A 21,448-nucleotide genomic window follows, 5' to 3' on the forward strand; every position below is an offset into this window, starting at 1 on the left:
AGTACTGGAAGTCCCAGCCACAGCCATTAGGCAAGAGAAAGAAATAAAAGGCATCCAAATAGGAATAGAGGAAGTCAAACTATCTCTGTTGGCAGATGATATGATTTTATACCCAGAAAACCTCATATTCTCTGTCCAAAGGCTCCTAGATCTGATGAACAACTTCAGGAAAGTTTCAGGATACAAAATCACTGTACAAGAATCAGTAGCATTTCTATACACCAACAATGTCCAAGCTGAGTGTCAAATCAAGAACACTTTCCTAATCACAATAGCCAAACAAAAAATACCTAGGAATAGAGCGAACCAGGGAGGTGAATGATCTCTACAAGGAGAACTAAAAAACACTGCCGAAAAAACTCATAGATGACAAAAATAAATGCAAAAACATTCTGTGTCCATGGATAGGAAAAATCAGTATTGTTAAAATAACCATACTGCCCTAAGTGATTTACACATTCAATTCTATTCCTATCAAACTACCAATGACATTCTTCACAGAATTAGAAAAACCTATTTTAAAATTCATATGAAACAAAAAATGAGCCTGAATAGTGAAAGCAATTCTAAGCAAAAGACCAAAGCTAAAGGCATCACATTACTGAACTTCAAACTATACTACAAGGCTACAGTTACCAACACAGCATGATAATGGCACAAAAACAGACACATAGATCAATGTAACAGAATAGAAAACCCAGAAATATAGACTCACACCTAGAGCCATCTGGTCTTTTTTGACAAAGTCAACAAAAACAAGCAATGGGGAAAGGACACCCTATTCAATTAATGGTGCTGGGATAACTGGTTAGCCATCTGCAGAAGATTGAAACTGGATCCTTTCTTTACACCATATACAAAAATCAACTTGAGATGAATTAATGGCAAAATGTGAAACCAAAAACTATAAAAAACCTTGAAGAAGACCTAGGAAATGCCATTCTGGACATAAGCCCTGGGAAAGATTTCAGGATAAAGATGCCAAAAGCAATTGCAACACAAACAAATATTGACACATGGGACTAATTAAACTAAAGAGCTTCTGCACAGCACATAAACCATCAACAGTGTAAACAGACAGCGCACAAAATGGGAGAAAATATTTGCAAACTATTCATCTGACAAAGATCTAATATCCAGAATTTATAAGAAACTTAAACAAATGACAAGCCAAAAATGAACAACTCCATTAAAAAGTCGGAAAAGCACATGAACACACACTTTTCAAAAGAAGACAAACATGTGCCCAACAAGCATTTGAAAAAATGCTGAACATTACTAATCATTAGAAAAAGGCAAATCAAAATTACAATGTGATACAATCACACCAGCCAGAATGACTATTATTAAAAAGTCAAGAAAATAACAGATACTGGCAAGGTTGCGGAGAAAAGAGAATGCTTATACATTGTTGGTGGGAATATAAATTAGTTCAGTCACTGTGGAAAGCAGTTTCGAGATTTCTCAAAGAACTTAAAATAGAACTACCATTCAACACAGTAATCCCTTTTTGGGGTATATATCCAAAGTAAAAGTGAATAATTTTACCATAAATACACATAAACATATATGTTCATTGCAGAACTATTCACAATAGTAAGGACATGGAATTATCCTAAATGTCCATCAACGGCAGGCTGGATAGAAAATGTGGTATATATATACCACGGAATACTATGCAGCCATAAAAAAGAATGAGATTATATCTTTTGCAGCAACATGGGTAGATCTGGAGGCTATTATCCTGATCAAACTAATGCAGGAACAGAAAACTAAATACCACGTGTTTTCACTTATAAGTGGGAGCTAAACTCTGAGTACACATGGACACAGGAGAAAAAACAATAGACACTGGGGCCTACTTGAGGGTGGAGGCTTAGAGGAGGGTGAGGAGTGAAAAACTACCTATTGGGTACTAGGCTTAGTACCTAGGTGACAAAATAATCTGTACACCAAATCCTCATGACATGCAATTTACCTATATAAAAAACTTGCACATGTACCCCGAAACTAAAATGCAAGTTAAGAAAAATGAAGCCACATATTTGCAGCCAACTGGTCTTTGACAAAATTGACAAGAATATAAAAGGACACCCTCTACAATCAATGTTGCTGAGAAAATAAGATCGCCATATGCAAAAGAATGAAACTGGACCCCCCTCTCTCTCCATATATAAAAATTAACTCAAGATGGATTAAAATGTAAGACCTGAGACTATACAAATACTAAAAGAAAACCTAGGAAAAACTCTTTCAGACATCAGTCTAGGCAAATAATTCCTGATGAAGACCTCAAAAGCACAGGCAACAAAACTAAAAATAGACAAGTGGGTCTCAACCTAAACAGCTTCTCACAGCAAAAGAAATTATCAACAGAGTGAACAGGCAACCTACAGAAAGAGAGAGCATATTTTCAAACTAAGCATCTGACAGAGGACAAATACCCAGGATTTACAAAAAACTCATACAACTCAACAAAACAAAAAAATAAATAATCCCATTAAAAATTGGGCACAGGACCTGAGTAGAGATATTTGAAAAGAAGACATACAAATGGCCAACAGGTATATGAAAAAATCACTTCATATAATCGCTTCACATCACTAATCATCAGAGAAACACAAATTAAAACCATAATGGGATATCATCTTACACCCATCAGAATTTCTATTATTATTATTATTATTTTTAATTTTGACTTTATAGATTCAGGGATTACATGTGTAGGTTTGTTATACCGATAGATCATTTGATGCGGAATTTGGAGTAGAATTGACTCTGTCACCCAGGCATTGATCATAGTACCCAGCAGGTAGTTTTTCTGCCTTTCCTCCTGACCCCCTTCCCCCTCTAGTAGTCCACACTGTCTATTGTTCTCATTTTTGTGTCCATGTGTATCCATGTGTACTCCCACTTATACGTGAAAAAATGCAGTATTTGGTCTTCTGTTCTTGCATTAATTCGCTTAGGATAATAGCCTCTAGCAGCAGCCATGTTGCTGTAATGAACATAATTTCATTCTTTTTTACAGCTGTGTAGTATTCCACGGTGTATGTGTACGACATTTCCTTATCTGATCCACTGTCAATGGGCATTTAGGTTGATTTTATGTCTTTGCTATTGTGAATAGTATTGCAGTGAACTTATAAATACATGTGTCTTTTTGGTAGAATGACTTATTTTCCTTTGGGTATATACCCAAAAGTGAGATTACTGGATCAAATGGTAGTTCTGTTTTAAGTTCTTTGAGAAATCTTTACACTGCTTTCCATAGTGGTTGAGCTAATTTACATTCCCACCAACAGCATATAAGCATTCGTTTTTCTCTACGACCTTGCCAACATCTGCTATTTTTGGAGTTTTTAATAGCCATTCTGACTGGTTTGAGGTAGTAGCTCATTGTGGTTTGAATTTGCATCTCTCTGATGATTACTGCTGTTGAACATTTTTTCATATGTTTGTTGGCCACTTGTATGTCTTCTTTTGAGAAGTGTCTGTTCATGTCCTTTGCCCACTTTTTAATGGGGTTGTTTGTTTTTTGTTTGCTAATTTTTCTAAGTTTCTTACAGATTTCAGATATTAGACCTTCATTGGATAGATAGTTTGTTAACATTTTCTCCTATTCTCTAGGTTGTGGGTTTGCTTTGTTGATAGCTTCTTTTGCTGTGCAGAAGATATTTGGTTTAATTAGGTCCCAGTTGTTAATTTTTGTTTTGGTTTCAATTGCTTTTGAGGCCTTATCATAAATTCTTTGCTGAGGCTGACGTCCAGAATGGTATTTCTTTTTGTTTGTTTGTTTTTTGGGACAGAGTCTCACTCTGTCACCCAGACTGGAGTACAGTGGTGCAATCTCGACTCACTACGACCTCCGCCTCCTGGGTTCAAGTGATTCTTGTGCCTCAGCCTCCTGAGTAGCTGGGATTACAGGAATGTGCCATCATGCTTGGCTAATTTTTGTATTTTTAGTAGAGACACGGTTTTGCCATGTTGGCCAGGCTGGTCTTGAACTCCTGGCCTCAAGTGATCCTCCTGGCTCAGCCTCCCAAAGTTCTGGGATTACAGGTGTGAGTCACTGCACCCAGCCCAGTATGGTATTTCTTAGATGTATTAGTCCATTCTTACATTGCCATAAAGGGATACCTGACACTGGGTAATTTATACAGAAAAAAGGTTTAATTGGCTCACAGTTCTGCAGGCTGTACAGGAAGCATGATGCTGACATTCACTGAGCTTCTGGGGAGACCTCAGTAAGCTTATAATCATGGCATAAGGTGACCGCGTAGCAGGCATGCCTTACATAGCAGGACCAGGAGCGAGAGAGAGTGAGTGGGGAGGTGCTACACACTTTTAAACAACCAGATCTCACAAGAAATCACTCACTAACACGAGGACAGTGCCAAGGGGGTGGTGCTGAACCATTCATGAGAAACATTTCCATGATCCAATCACCTCCCACCAAGCCCCGCCTCCAACATGGGAGATGACAATTCGACATGAGATTTGGGCAGGAACACATATCCAAACCATATCACTAGGTTTTCTTCTAGGATTTTTACAGTTTGTGGTCTTACATTTAAATCTTTTACCTATCTTGAGTTAAATTTTGTATATGATGAAAAGTAGGAGGTTGGGTTTCATTCTTCTTCATATGGCTAGAGAATGGGTATTAAAAAGTGAAAACAATAACTGATGTTGGTGAGGGTGCAGAGAAGGAACTCTGATGCACTGTTTGTGATAATATAAAGTAATATAACCTCTGTGGAAAACAGTATGAAGATTTCTCAAAGAACTAAAGGTAGAACTACCATTCAGTCCAACAATCCCACTACTAGGCATCTGCCCAAAACAAAACAAATCATTATATAAAAAAGATATCTGTGCCTGTACGTTTATCACAGTACTATTTACTATTGCAAAGATGTGGAATCAATCTAAGTGTCCATCAATTGATGACAAGATAAAGAAAACGTGAAATATATATATGTGTGTATGTATATATATATATATATAATTGAATACTATTCAGCCATAAAAAGAATAAAATCATGCCATTCGCAACAACATAGATGAAACAGAGGCCATTATATCAAGTGAAACAAGTCAGACATGGAAAAATAAATACTGCATGTTCTCACTTATAAGTGGAAGGTAAATACTGTGTACCCAAGGATGTAGAGTGTGAAATGATAGACAACGGAGACTTGGAAGAGTGTGGGAGTTGGGCGGGGGGGGGAGATGATGATAAATGACTTGATGTGTACAATGTATATTATTCTGATGATAGACACCCTAACAGTCCTGACTTCACCACTACACAATCTATGCATGTAGCAAAATTACACTTGTAACCCATAAATTTATACAAAAAAGAGAATAATTTATATCTTTACACAAACCTTTTAACAGGCTAGTTTAAGTTTGACATTATAGTTACTTATTTAATTAAATATTATGGAAACCAGTGAGATATAGCTGTAAAAACAGAGGTTCTTTTTCTTGTAGAGAAGCTCAGTTAAAAAGCTGTAGAAAGACACAAAGTAAACATCTTTTAAAAATTCTGTATTAGTTATATAGAGAGGAAAATAAAATGTTAGAAAAAGCAATTACAAAAAAAATCAAGGTTTTTCTCAGATTGTTCTGCGTCTTTAAAATTTATTGTTCCCATTCAAGTAAACGTAATCAGAATTTATAGTGTATTTGCTATGAGTGAGCATTTCATAAGAAAGACTAACAGAGATCCAATCATTGGATGTATCTCCAAGAGAAGATCTTGGTTTCACATCATAAGACTGGCAAAGAATTGTCCTCTTTGATGTTTTATGTTAAGAATATGGGGAAAATACAACATTCTAATAAAAAATTTAAAGAAGACCTAAATAAATGGAGATATGCATATGCATGGATAGGAAGACTCAATATTGTCAAGATGTTAGTTATTCCTAACTTGATATATAGATTCAATACCATCCCAATCAAAATCCTGGGAAGTTATTTTGTGGATATTGACAAACTTATTCTAAAATGTATATGGAAAGGCAAAAGACAAGAATAGATAACACAGTATTGAAGAACAAAGTTGGAGAACTGATACTACAAAACTTTACTTACTACAAAGCCACAGTAATTAAGAGTGTGCAATTGATGTTAGAACAGAAAATTGATAAATGAAACAGAATAGAGAGCCCAGAAATAGACCCACATAAATACACTCAACTGATATTTGACAAAGAAGCAAAGGCATACAATGGAGAAAAGACAGTCTTTTCAACAAATGTTGTAGGAATAACTGGACATCCACATGCAAAAAAATGAACCTAGGTCCAAAACTTACACCCTTCACAAAAATTAACTAGAAATGGATCACAGACCTGAAAGTAAAATGCAAAACTATTAGACTCTTAGAAAATAACATAGGAGAAAATGTAGCTAAACTTGGGTTTGGAGATGACTTTTTTGATATGACACCTACGGCATGATCCATGACAGAAAGAATTGATAAGCTGTACTTCATTAAAATTAAATTTTCTGCTTTGTGAGAGACACTGTCAAGAAATGAAAATAAAAGCCACAGAATAGGAGAAAATATCTGCAAAACAATGATCTGCTAAGTGACTGTTATCCAAAATATACCAAGGCCTCTTAAAACTCAAAAATAAGAAAACAAACAACCCAATTTAAAAAATTGGCCAATTGAATTTAGCAGATACCTCACCAAGGAAGATCTACAGATGGCAAATAAGCATATGAAAAGATGCTTCACATCTGATATTATCAAGGAAATCCAAATTAAAACAACAATGAGATACTACCACACACCTATTAGAATGGCCAGAACGCAGAACACTAACCACAATAAATCCTGGTGAAGATGTGGAGCAAGAGGAACTCTCATTCATTGCTGGGAGGAATGCAGAATGGCACAATTACTTTGGAAGACAGTTTGGCAGTTTCTTACAAAACTAGACATACTCTTACCATATGATCAAGCAATCCCACTCCTTGGTATTTACCCAAAGGAACTGAAAAAACCTGCACCTGGATGTTTATAGCAGCTAAATTCATAATTGCTAAAACTTGGAAGCAACCAAGATGTCCTTCAGTATGTGAATGGATAAATGAAGTTTGGTATATCCAGTTAATGGAATATTATTCAGCATTAAAATAAAATGAGCTAAGAAGCCATGAAAACACATGGAGAAAATGAAAACACATATTAATAAGAGAAAAATAGCCAATCTGAAAGGCTACATACTGTTAGATTCCCACTATATGACATTCTGGGAAAAGCAAAACTAGGGAGACAGTGAAAAGATCAGTGTTTTCAAGGGGGTAGTTGGGAGGTAAGGATGAAAAGGTGGGGCACACAGGATTGTTAGGGCAATGAAACTATTCTGTATGGTACAATAATGGTGGATACACGTCATTATATATTTGTTCAAACCCATAAAATGCCTGACTCCAAGAGTGAAGCCTAATGTAAACTATAGACTTTGGGTGACAATGATGTGTCGGTGTAGCTTCATCTATTGTAACAAGTGTGCCACTCTGGTACGGTGTTAATAATGGGGGTAGGTAGGCATGTGTAAGGGAAGAGCGTATGTAGAAAATCTCCGTACCTTCCACTCAATTTTGCTGTGAACCTGAAACTGCTCTAAAAATAAAGTCTGTTCAAACATTTATTATACTTTCTGATTCTTGTTTTAACTGACTTCTTGTGCTAACTATATTAAATAAGAAGTCTTCTTTTCTATTTGCATGGAAGAAAGGCTGAGAGGAAATATATCAATATTTTAAACAATCTAATCCCTAGGTGGTTGTGATATTGTGAAATATAGGCTGAGTATCACTTATCCAAAATGCTTGGGACCAGAAATGTTTGGATTTCACATTTTTTAGGTTTTTGGAGTATTTACTTTACACCAGTATTTAGCTTACATCAGTTGAGCATCCCAAATCTGAAAATCCAAAATGCTCCAATGAACATTTTCATTGCGCATCAAGTCAGCGTTCAAAAAGCTTCAGATTTTGTAGCATTTTAGATTTAGGATGCTCAACCTGTATGTATTTGGCTCTTATCTCAGCTTCCTAGTAAAAAATTCCTACAATCCTTGGAGACTTCGGAGTAATAAGTGTGTCTTTTATATGCTACTGAGATGACTGGTGGCTGGGGGGCCCCTAAACAGCTTCAAGATGGGAGCGCATCACCAGAAAGACCAAGGCATGATTGCTGGGTTGGAACTTTCAGCTGTACCCCCTTTCCTCATCTCCAGGGAGGGGAGAGGGCTGAAGCTTGAGTTGATCACCAATGGCCAATGATGGAATCAATCATGCCTAAGTAATGAATCCTCCATAAAAACCCAGAAGGACGGGGTTTGAAGGAGCTTTCCATCTTTACTGAACACGTGGAAGTTCCTGGAGGGTGGTGTACCCAGAGGGAGCACGGAAGCTCCGCGCCCCTCCCCCCATGCCTTGCCCTAGGCATCTCTCTTCCATCTGGCTGTTCATCTGTATCCTTTATAAAATCCTTAATAATAAACAGGTAAATGTAAATAAAGAAACTTCCTTGAGTTCTACGAACCACTCTAGCAAATATTCCAACCGGAGGAGGTGGCTGTGGTAACCCCAGTTTACAGAAGCACAGACCATAACCTGGGGCTTGCAATTGGCATTTGAAGTGGGAAGCAGTCTTAAAGGATTAAACTTTCAACCTGTGGAGTGTGATGCTATGCTATTTCCAGGTTGATGGTGTCAGATAGTATCAAATGTTGAGTTACAGGACACACAGCTGCTGTCCACTGCAGAATTGGTTGCTGATAGGGAGAAATCTCTACATATTTTGGTGACCAGAGTGAAGTGTTGTGCTCAGTGAGTATATGAGAGTAGGAAAAAAAAGACACATTGGCTTTGGTTTTTCCTATATCTCTTACCCATGGTAGATTGCAGCTGAATTTTTATTTTCTTTATATTTTTCAATTTTTCATATTTTTACAATAAATGTTTATATTTTAAAAGGTTATCTAACAGTCATTGCATGTAACATAGAAGAGTAAAAGTAGTTTAGGCGACAGTGTAATTCCTTAGTATTCACCTCAAAAACCTATCATACTGACAGTTGTAATATTAACCTATATTTGAAATTAGTATCCTGTCCTGGTGTTACTACTTTGATAACCCTGCAAGTTTTTGGTTTGTTGTTTTGTTCCTTTGCCCTGAGGAAATAGCTGCCTGGACTTCCTTTCTGTTGTTCGTATGATGTACTATGGATTCTAGAGAATTTTATGTCTTATTGTAAGTATGGCAAAAATTGCCTGCTTGTTATAAATATCAATTTATTGGGAGATATTCATAACGTTGAGTTTAGGCACTGTCTGTAAATCCACTCCTTCCTCTCTTGCCTGAAGATATACTTGGGAATAGAGTGTTTCATCACTTAAGAAATTTTCCATAAAATATTAGAAATAAATAAGGGAAGAAAGAAGTACACTCTACTGAAATGTATTGAGTATAATTATGTAAGTGTACTACAGAAACTGAACTTGGGAGAGAAAAGAGCAGAGATTTTTCTAAGATGCTCCAAGGGAAATAGAAAAATGTCACATTTTAGTGACAGACAGAAAATTAGAAATAAAATGTTCAGAAACTTCATCAACCAATGGGTGCGACTTTTCAGAATCTATTTGTTTCTAATAAAATACCAGTCGGTGCCAGAATGAAGTCGGGCCTTTACCCAGTTACCTTATCCTTGTTTGGCTTGCCTTAGTTGGACCCCATCGGCTACCAATTTGCGATACACACTTCTAGCACAATGACTTATGTAATGAGAAGAGTCATGTGTTATTCTGATGTTGAAAGTAAACTTCGGTGCCCTCATCTCAGTTCATTTTTATTCTTGAGTACTTACTGTGTCAAGTCGTGTGCTTAATTTTGGAATGTACAATCTAAAAGAGAAGACTCACATACACACAAACAATGCTAAACTCAAGCAAGCTGTGATAGACAACGGAAGGGCAAAGTAATGCCAAGACATGAGGGACAGCAGTTTGGAGAATGGAGAGGAAGACAGTGGCATCTGAGGTGAGCTTTGAAGGGTGATTAGCACTCAAGATCTGGTGAGATGTCCATTCTGCTCAGCACTGTGGCTTTCTGAGGTGGCAAAGTGATGATCCCAGGAAGTGAGGTGAAGGCTTCTTTATCTCACCAGACTGAAAGGTTTAATTTTTGAATCAAGGTTGGAGCTCAAGAGAGCTGTGCTTTAAGAGGAATGTTCTGCCCTTGAGAGTGGAGTGCACTGAGGAAAGGACAATTCTGGAGAAATCACCCTTTTCTGTCAACCCTCCAACCTTATCACTCCTGGCCCCAAATGCCTCCATTTAGCATACCCTCCAAATGAGTTAAAAAAATCACAGCACTTAACTCTGCTCTATCTAGCATTGATTTTTTTATTAGGTGCTTACATCAGGACATTCATCAGATTCTCATTTACCTGGATCCTGTGGGTTCAAGAGGAAAAATGCAATCATGTTGTCTCAAAAATGTATCAAAAAGATCAAAGTTTCTGGTTCTATCCTTCATCTTTCTTCTCTTAAAATACATAAAGAATAAAGAATTATTGAAAGTACAGTATATATGGGTTTTCTGAGTATGGAGTTCTCTACTTTTAAAAAGAATCCTAATAGCTTTTTTTTGGGGGGGGTGCATACGTAGTTAACTATTATCATCAGTTTTAATTGGGTTGAACAAAGGGGTGGAAAACCCAAAGAGGCAGATAATTAAAAATCTTTGTTATTCAACTTTGGGAATCATTCCTAAAATATCTTTCTCATATAAAAAGAACAGCCTGAGGATGTGAAAAGCAAGGTTTATATTTGCCTTCTTCCATTTAGGAGGAATAAAGTACTGCCCTCTACAGCATCCATCTATATTTTTAAAATATTGAAGACAGTGTGACATTCACTTAGAACCATGTAGTTTATACTACTTGGTTTACTGTCTCAGCATCTCATTCTGTCTTGGGAACATCTCTATCTTCTTGAAAGGAAATGTCTTTATCCTCTCAATTAAACCATGTTGTCTCAGTAGAGCAGGCAAGTGTCCTTGGCCACAGGGGTGGGATACTGAACTTTGAAAAAATTATAAAGTTAAAACAACTATGTATTTTATTTATAGTTCAGAATCATTGGCAAATCAAATGATTCAATAACAAATATTTACAGTGCACACTGTACTTCAAGCAATATGTAGACACTGTGGATACAGTGGGAGACATGACATAGTCTTTGCACACATAGAGTTTATTGTCAAATGAAGGATACAGACAAGTAAACTATCAAACACAGCTTGTAAATTAATGCTATATTGAGAGGGGGAACACAAAGGGAGGTAGAAGCACAAAAAAGAATGCTTAACCTAGCCTGGGCTTGGAAAGATGTGGGATGGAGATGGGATAGATTATTCAACACTTTTCTATATCAGTTTAGCTATGATTACTCTCATTTAATCTGTCAAAGTGGTTGCTTGTAATGGATTTATTTGCCCTGAGAGCTATCCCTCATTTATCCTCTGCTGTGCCTCATAATATACACAGGCTGACCCCTGAAGATTGCAATTCCTAGACTAGTTAACATTTTGTGGCCATCTTGGTTCAACCAACAGGCAGAAAAACAGGAGATTAGAACCCAGGAGGATGGAGCGGACAGTTTTTCTCCATCTTCTGCATCAGGTGGGGCTTTCCTTCAATGGCTACATATTATTCATGACTCTAGGCCCATCAAATTAGCCCGCCATGACATGAGATCCTATGGAACCCAACACCTGGGCTCCAATAACACTGTCTCCTCTCTTTGTCTTTCCAGCCTAGAGTTGAGAGTGACTTCCTCATGTTGAAAACTGTTGGGTTCTCCAATTCTCCTGTTTGGCTTCTCCATCTCTTGTATAATCAGTTCCCTGAATTAAATTCTCTCTTGGGAGGGTAGAGATCATCATGGCGGATGGGAAGCAGGACTAGATTGCAGCTCCAGACAGAGCAGTGTGTGGAGGCTCGCATGGTGAATTTTAGCTCCAGATCGACTGCAAGAACAAACCAGCAATCCCAAGAGGATCCACAGACTCTATGAAGGAAGTGGACTGCCCCTGCAGGACCTGGGAGATACCCCAAATACTGTGAGTGCCCCAACTGCGGAAGTGGAAAAGGGAGACCCTCCTCTCCCAAACACACATCCCCACTGGAGAAGCTGAATGTCTGTTTGTGGGAGAAGTTTCCGACTTTACCTGGAGCTGAGTCAATTTGGGGAGCTGAGTCAATTTGGAGAGCTGAGCAAAATACAAGGGTAAAGGAAGTAGCAGAAAGGCCCTGGGAGCTCTCTGGGTCCCTGAGCAGGTCATTCCTGCCTGGCACCACAGGGATCCATCCAGAGGGCAGCCAGAGAGGCAGGGGGTAAAACTCCAAAGGGAGAAGGAAATCTCTAGCTGGACTTTGTAACAATTTGAACCGGGTGAGAAGCCTCCTGGCCAGAACTTGGGGGAAGTTGCAAATCTGGTGTGCAGACTCCACAGGCGGGGATAGAACCTTTTCTTTTGCAGCTGGGAGGCGGGTAGCCTGGGGCACATTTTCAAGCCCATCTCGCCCACCACCTGGAAGTGGACCCAGGGCTGTTGGGTGGGGCATGGTGGGAATGAGACCAGCTCTTTGGTTTGTGTGGGAGCTGGGTGAGGCCTGTGACTGCTGGCTTTCCCCCAAAACCTGCGTAACTCAGCAGTGACAGCCATAATCCTCCTAGGTACGCAACTCCAGTGACCTGGGAATCTCACTCCCATCCCCCCACAGCAGCTGCAGTAAGACCCGCCCAAGGATGCCCACTCTCACCACTCCTCTTCAACATAGTACTGGAAGTCCTAGCCAGAGCAGTCAGACAAGAGAAAGAAATAAAGGGCATGCAAATCGGTAAAGAGGAAGTCAAACTGTCACTGTTTGCTGACAGTATGATCATTTACCTTGAAAACCCTAAGGACTCCTCCAGAAAGCTCTGAGAACTGATAAAATAATTCAACAACGTTTCCAGATACAAGATTAATGTACACAAATCAGTAGCTCTTCTATATACCAACAGCGACCAAGTGGAGAATCAAGTCAAGAACTCAACCCCTTTTACAATAGCTGCAAAAATAAAATAAAATAAAATACTTAGGAATACACCTAACCAAGGAATCCAAAGACCTCTACAAGGAAAACTACAAAACACTTCTGAAAGAAATCATAGATGACATGAACAAGTGGAAACACACCCCATGCTCATGGACGGGTAGAATCAAAATTGTGAAAATGGTCATACTGCCAAAAGCAATCTACAAATTCAACGCAATTCCCATGAAAATACCACCATCATTCTTCACAGAATTAGAAAAACAAATTCTAAAATGTATATGGAAACAAAAAAGAGTCTGCACAGCCATGGGCTCTCCATTCTGTTCCATTGGTCTACATATCTGTTTTTATACCAATACCACGCTCTTTTTGTTCCTATAACTCTGTAGGATAATTTGCAGTCGGATAATGTGATTCCTCCAGTTTTGTTCCTTTTGCTTAGGATCCTTTTGGCTACTCTGGGTCTTCTGTGGTTCCATATAAGTTGTAGGATTGTTTTTTCTATTTCTGTGAAGAATATCATTGGTATTTTGATAAGGATAGCATTCAATCTGTTTATTGTTTTTGGTAGTATGGGCATTTTAACAACATTGATTCTTTGAATTTATGAATATGAAATATTGTTCCATTTTTTGGTGTTGTCTTCAATTTCTTTAAGGTACTGGTATAAAAACAGATATATAGACCAATGGAACAGAATCAACCAGAATCAAATCCACACACCTACGGTGAACTCATTTTCAACAAAGAAGTCAAGAACATACACTGGGGGAAAAGATGGTCTTTTCAATAAATAGTGCTGGGAAAATATCTGCAAACTATGCATCTGACAAAGGTCTAATATCCAGCATCTATAAGAAACTTAAATCTACAAGAGAAAAACAACCCCATTAAAAAGTGGGCAAAGGACATGAACAGACACTTTACAATAGAAGACATACATGTTGCCAACAAGCATATGACAAAAATCTCAATATTGCTGATTATTAGAGAATGCAAATAAAAACCACAATGAGATATCATCTCACACCAGTCAGAATGGCTATTATATAAAAAATTTAAAAATACCAGGGGCTGGCAAGGTTGCGGAGAAAAGGGAACACTTACACGCTGTTGGTGGGAGTGTAAATCAGTTTAACCATTGTGGGAAGCAGTAGGGCAATTCCTCTAAGTGCTGAAAGCAGGACTGCCATTTGACCCAGCGATCCCATTACCGTGAATAATGTATATTCCCAGAAAAATATAAATCATTCTACCATAAAGACTCATGCATGTGAATGTTCATTGCAGCACCATTCACAATAGCAAACATGGAATCAACCTAAATGCCCATCAATGACAGATTAGGTAAAGAAAATGTGGTACATACACACCATGGAATACTATGAAGCCATAAAAAAGAATGAGCTCATGTCCTTTAGCAAGAACATGGATGGAGCTGGAGGCCATTATCCTTAGCAAACTAATTCAGGAACAGGAAACCAAATGCTGCGTGTTCTCACTTACTAGTGGGAGCTAAATGATGAGAACATATGGCTGCAAAGAGGGGAACAACAGATACTGGAGCCTCCTTAAGGGTAGAGAGTGGGAGGAGGGAGAGGATCAGAAAAAATAACTATTGGGTACTAGGCTTATTTCCTGGGTGACAAAATAACCTGTACAACAAATCCCTGTGACATGAGTTTACCTGTATAACAAACCTGCACTTGTTCCCCTGAACCTAAAATAAAAGTTAATAAAAAATTAAGAAAAATAAAAAGTATAAGGCCATTAGACAAATGTGAAAAATAACTGGATATTTGATATCAATGACACATATAATTCTTTAGTACTAGTAATTGTTTTCTGTTTATGTTTTATAAAAGAGTCTATCTCGCGAAAACGCATATTTAGAGAAGAAATGGTGTGATGTCTTGGATTTGCTTTGCATGATTCGAGCAGCAGAGATTTCAATGGTGAGGAGGGGTGTCTATTTAGAATCAGATTGGCTATGTATTGATGATTGTTGATATTGAGTATACCACTAACTAGGTAGCTTAATACAACATAAATGTATCATCTTTTATTCCTGGAAGCTAGAAATCTAAAATTAAGTTATCGGCAGGGCCACAATCCCCCTGAATTCCTTGCCTCTTCTTAATTTCTGGTGGTTTGCTGGCAATTGCTGCTATTCCTTGGCTTCTACATGCGTTACTCAAATACTCCATCTTCCCATGGTGTTCTTCCTATGCTTTTGTCCTAACACGAACATCTACTAATAAGCACAGAAGTCATATTGAATTAGGGGACCTTTCTACTCCAGTATGACCCTATCTTAACTAATTACATATGTAATGATGCTATTTCTAGAAAAGGTCATATTTTAAGGTACTGGGGGTCAGTACTTCAACATAGCTTCTTGGGAAAGAATTAAACTTATAACACCCACATATGTGATAACTTATATGAAACGGGCCAGTTCCTTGAAAGACATAAACTACCATACTTAGACAAGGAGAAATAGATAATCTGAATAGGTGTGCATTTATCAAATAAATTTAATCAATAATAAACAACCTTCCAAAGCACCAGGCTCAGATGGTTTCACTGGTGAATTCTACTAAACATTTATGGATAACATAATACCAATTCTCTACATGGCAAAGGGAATATTTTTAACTTATTCCTGGAGCAAACAATATCTTTATGTCAAAATCAGATAAAGATTTTACATAAAGTTAAACTACAAACCAATGTCTCTCATGAACATGGACCCAATAATCCTCAATGAATGACAAGAAAATCCAACTCTACAATGTATAAAAAGAATTTTACAATATGACCAAGTGGGATTTATTCCAAGCACGCAAAGCTGCTTTAACATTTTAAAATCAATCAATATAGTTTACCATGTCAACAGGTAAGAAAACAAAAATTATGTGATCATATCAATTGATTCAGAAGAAGCATTTGACAAAATCTAAATCTCATTTATGATAAAAGACCCCAGCAAATTAAGAGTAGAAGGAAACTTCCTCAACTTGACAAAGAACATCCACAATTAACCTACAACTGACACTGTATTTAATGGTGGGAGACTAGAAACTTTCCTACTAAAATCAGAATCAAGTCAAGAATATTCTCTCGGCCGGGCGCCGTGTCTCATGCCTGTAATCCCAGAACTTTGGGAGGCCGAGGCGGGCGGATCACGAGGTTAGGAGATCGAGACCATCCTGGCTAACATGGTGAAACCCCGTCTCTACTAAAAATATTTTAAAAAGGTTAGCCGGGCGTGGTGGCGGGCGCCTGTAGTCCCAGCTACTCGGGAGGTTGAGGCAGGAGAATGGCGTGAACCCGGGAGGCGGAGCTTGCAGTGAGCCGAGATCGCGCCACTGCACTCCAGCCTGGGAGACAGAGTGAGACTCCGTCTCAAAAAAAAAAAAAAAAAAAAAAAAGAATGTTCTCTCTCACCACTACTATCCTATGCTGGAAGTCTTAGTGCATTAAGAAAATTTTTAAAAAGGCATACATATTGGAAAGGAAGAAATAAAACTATATTTATTTGCAGACATGTTTGTCTATTTTCAAAGCATAAGTGAATCTACAAAAAGCTCCCTTAACTGATAAGAAGGCTAACAATGTTGCAGAATACAAGGTCAATATACAAAAGTCAATTGCTTTTCTATATACCAGCAATCAATGGTTGGGATTTAAAATTTTTAAAATATAATTTGCAATAGCACCCCAAATTAAAATATTTAGATATAAATATAACAAATGTGTGCAAAATCCCCAAGTTGAAAGCCATGAAACATTTCTGAAAGAAGTAAAACCAGATCTATATAGAGACATATTATAATCATGGGTTGGAAGACAACATATTAAAGGCGCCAATTTTCCCCAAATTGATATCTATTTTTAATATAATTACCATAAAAATCTCACCAGGATTTTTTGTAAATACAGACAAGATGGTTATAAAATTTCAAGTGGCAAAGCAAAGGACTAGAATAACCAAAATAATTTTGAAAAAAAGGATGAACTGGTAAAAATCAGTCAACCTCATTTTCAAGAATTATTTTATAGCTACAGTAATGAACACTGTATGAGACTGTTGGAGGGATAGTAACACAGGTCAATGGAATAGAAATACCTACTCAGAAATAGACCCACACAAATATGTCCAGGTGATTTTTGACAAATGTACAAAAGCAATTTAATAGGGAATGAAGAGCTTTTTCAATAAATAGTACCTGAGTATTTGGACATTCACTGGCAAAAAAGGGAACACTGGCCTAAACATTAAAACTTATACAGAAATTAGCTAAAATGGATCATGAACTTAACTGTAAAATGAAAAATTATAAAACTTTTAGAAAAAATAAGTAGGAATAAATCTGTAGGATCTAGGGCTTGGCAGAGTTCTCACCCTTCACACCAAAGTATGATCCATAAGAGAAATGATTTATAAGTTGTGCCTCATGAAAATGAAAATTTACTCTGCAAATAACTCTTTTAAGAAGATGACAAGACAAGCAACAGACTGGGAGAAAATATTTGCAAAATACATATCTGATAAAGAACTCATATCTAGAATATATAAATAACTGAAAATTTAATAGCAATAAAACTCTACATTTAATTAGAAAATGAGTGAATGACATTGCTATGGTTTGGATGTTAGTCCTCCAAACCTCATGTAGAAATCTGATCCACAATGTTGGAGACGGGGGCCTAATGGGAGGTGTTTCCATCTTGAAGGCAGATCCCTCATGAATAGATGAATGCCCTCCCTTGGGGGTGAGTTCTCACTCTACTCATTCTTGAGAGAGCTGGTTGTTAAAAACAACCTGGCTTCTTGTTAAAAAGAGCCTCCTGCCTTTCCCTCTTGCTTCCTCTTTTGCCATGTGATTTCTGCATATGCCAGGCTCCTTTTCTGTCCACCTTCCACCATGAGTGAAAGCAGTCTGAGGCCTTCACCAATCTGTAACTTTCCAGACATTAGAATCATGAGCCAGAAAAACTTTTTCTTTGTAAATTACTCAGTGTCAGGTATTCTATTATAGCAACACAAAATAGACTAAGACAGACATAAAGATACATTTTATTGAGTATATACAGATGGGTAATAAGCACATGAAAAGATGTGCTGAGCATCAGGGAAATTGAAATTAAAACCATAGTAAGACACCACTACACACCTATCAGAATGACTAAAATAAGAATAGTGACAACACCGATTGCTTCAATTACTTGTAATTATTACTTAGACACTTTTTTTTTGAGACAAAGTCTCGCTTTGTTGCCCAGGCTGGAGTGCAGTGGCACAATCTCAGCTCACTGAGACCTCCACCTCCCGGGTTCAAGCAATTCTCCTGCCTCAGCCTCCCAAGTAGCTGGGATTACCCATCACGCCTGGCTGATTTTTTGTATTTTTAGTAGAGATGGGTTTTTGCCATGTTGACCAGGCTAGTCTGGAACTCTCGAACTCAGATGATCCACCCGCCTTGGCCTCCCAAAGTGCTAGGATTACAGGCGTAAGCCAAAGTGTCTGGCCTTATACACTGTTGAATTCTATGAGGTATACCTATTTTCCCATTTTGAGCTCTTATTAATGAAGCTGGTATAAACATTTGGCATTCCCACTGAATGTCAAATGTTCAGTAGGGAATGGCTAAACAAACTGTAGTACATCCATACTATGGAACACTACTCAGAAAAAAAAAAAAGGAATGAACTATTGATGCACACAGCAACTTGAAAAGATCTTCAGAGAATTTTGATGAGTGAAATGGTTATATAGTATATGACTCCATTTATATGCATTCTTGAAATAAAAGTAACACCTTTATAGAAGTGGAAAACAGATTAATGGTTGATAGGGATTAAGGAGGGTTAGAGACTGAGGGGTAGTAAACATAGTTATAAAAGGGCAACAGGAGTAATTCTTGCCATGATGCAAGTATTCTGTATGTTGACTGTATACTGTACTATAGCTTTCAAGATGTTACTTATTGGAGAAACTGGGTCAACAGTATATGGTATCGCTCTGCATTATTTCTTACAACTGCATGTAAATCCACAATTATGTCAAAATAAAAAGATTAGTAATAATAACATAAACCTAGTTTGGAATTTTATATGACAAATAACCCAATTTCTTCAACACAAAGAAAAAAAAGATGGAGGAGGAACCTGTAGATTTAAAAAGATTTAAGAGATATATCAGCCAACTTCAATATTTGAAGCTCATTAAGATCCTGATATGAACAAGTAAACTTTAAAAATAATAAAATAAGAGGAAAATTTGAACACTGATTATGAATCTCATGATATTAATGAATTGATATTTCTAAGTGTGATAATGGCATAGCAGTTTTGTTTAAAAGTTAGTCTTTATATTTTAGAGATGCACACACAAATATTTGTTAATTAAATAATATTTGGTCTAGAATTTGCTTCAAAATAATCTTCATGGGTGGGTGGGCAAAATTTCCTAAGAGTCTCATTTCCTCTTGACATGTACTGTATCAACTCTTTCCCTGGAGTATCAGTGAGACCTGTGAATATGAAAAGATATCACTTTCATGATTATGTTATGTTATATGGATAAGACACTTTTAAGATGTAATTAAGATGCCTAATCAGCTGACTCTGAGTTTAAAAAAGGGAGATTTTCCTGGGTGGGCCTCACCTAATCAGTACAGCCATGAAAAGAGACAAGAAGTAGCAGCAGATGCTTTCCTGCTGTGCTTGAAGAAGCAAACACTTGTGTCGTGAATTGCCTATGTAGAGGGCCATGTGCCAGGGACCTAAGAGCAGACTCTAGGCGCTGATAGTGGTCCCTGCCTGATAGGCAGAAAGAAAATGGAGACTCCAGTCCTGTAACTATAAGGAATTGAGTTGTGCCAATAATCGCATGTGCTTGGCAGAGGACCCCAAGCCCCACATGAGATTGCTACTCCAGGGAATACTTTACTGCCTAGTAAGACCATAACGCAGAGAATCTAGTTATACCATTTACAGACTTCTGACTTTCTGTGAGATAATAAATGACCTCTAAGAGTATTAATAATTGACTACATAGTGATAGAAAACTAATACTGGAGAGCATAGATAAAACAAAATTAGCCGTGAGTTTATCACGGTAGAAACTGCATGATAGCTGCATGGGTTTCATTGGGCTATTCTCCCTACTTTTGTATATGTATTCTTCTTTTTTTCAATCAAAAATTTTAAAAATTCTCATGTTTTATGCTAAATGCTTCAGATGATGGAAGTTGGTTGATGAATAGCATGGTTTCTAAGACTGACCGCCTTCTCTGAGGAGAGTAGAGCCTTAGCCTCAGTGTGCACACGACTTTAAAGGAAGCAGGCCTGGTGCTTGCCCCAGAAACTCAGCTTGCCTGCTGCATTGCTGGTTATTTTTTTAGTTTATTTTCCAACTTACGGTAACTATGAACTTTTGGTATAGGATTGCTAGAGGTGAGGGTGTGTGTGTGTGTATGCATGTGCGTGCGCGTGTGTTTACAGGCATATGTGTACGCATACGTGAATGTATAAAACTGGTAAATAAACCAATAACAAAAAACTAAAGCAACTAGAAATAGAAATTGTATTTAATTTTAGGCATTGTTTAGATGGTTAAAATGCTGGAACTCTACTTATAAACCTATAAACTCAGTTGTATATAAGTATAAAAGTTGTCTGGTAGAAAAAAAAATAATGGAAGAAGGGACCAGTATTTTACTTGGGTGCCTCAGTATGTTAAAGATGGAACCTTAGGCCACATAAGCTTTGCTTCTTCCTTCTATGAAGCATCACCTGTGTTAAATGCTAAAATATGTAACCATAGTCCACTTGGCTTTCAATTTTTCCTTCTATAAAATAGAACTAGAACCACCTGCCTTACCTACCTTATCTGGGGCTTTATGTAAGGTCACAGTAGGCAGAAAATGAAACTTCCACCTCTCCCCCTCCCTCAAATGGAAAAATTATTTAATAGTTGTATCTAGAATTTATATCACAAACAGGCAGAGTTTGTTACATTCTAAAAGAGTCAATTCACAAAAACACAGAAGAATAGAATCTACTCTAAGCAATAATTCCTTCTCCAATAATTTTACCAAGAAGGTAAACACTTTCCATTTTGAAACATGCACTACCTCCTGAGCAGCAGCAGCCTAAAGGAGTGGTTTGGGGCCTTTAGCTCCCCCGCCACCCAATATCTATCACCTTTCCCCAATTCACTGATATGAACAAATAATGTTTTTACAATGTACACCAATTTCTATGTAAATGTAGGGTCCAATCGAGTCCCTTAGCCAT

The sequence above is a fragment of the Homo sapiens genome, chromosome X (assembly GCF_000001405.40).
Source record: "Homo sapiens chromosome X, GRCh38.p14 Primary Assembly".
Lineage (NCBI taxonomy): Eukaryota > Metazoa > Chordata > Mammalia > Primates > Hominidae > Homo > Homo sapiens.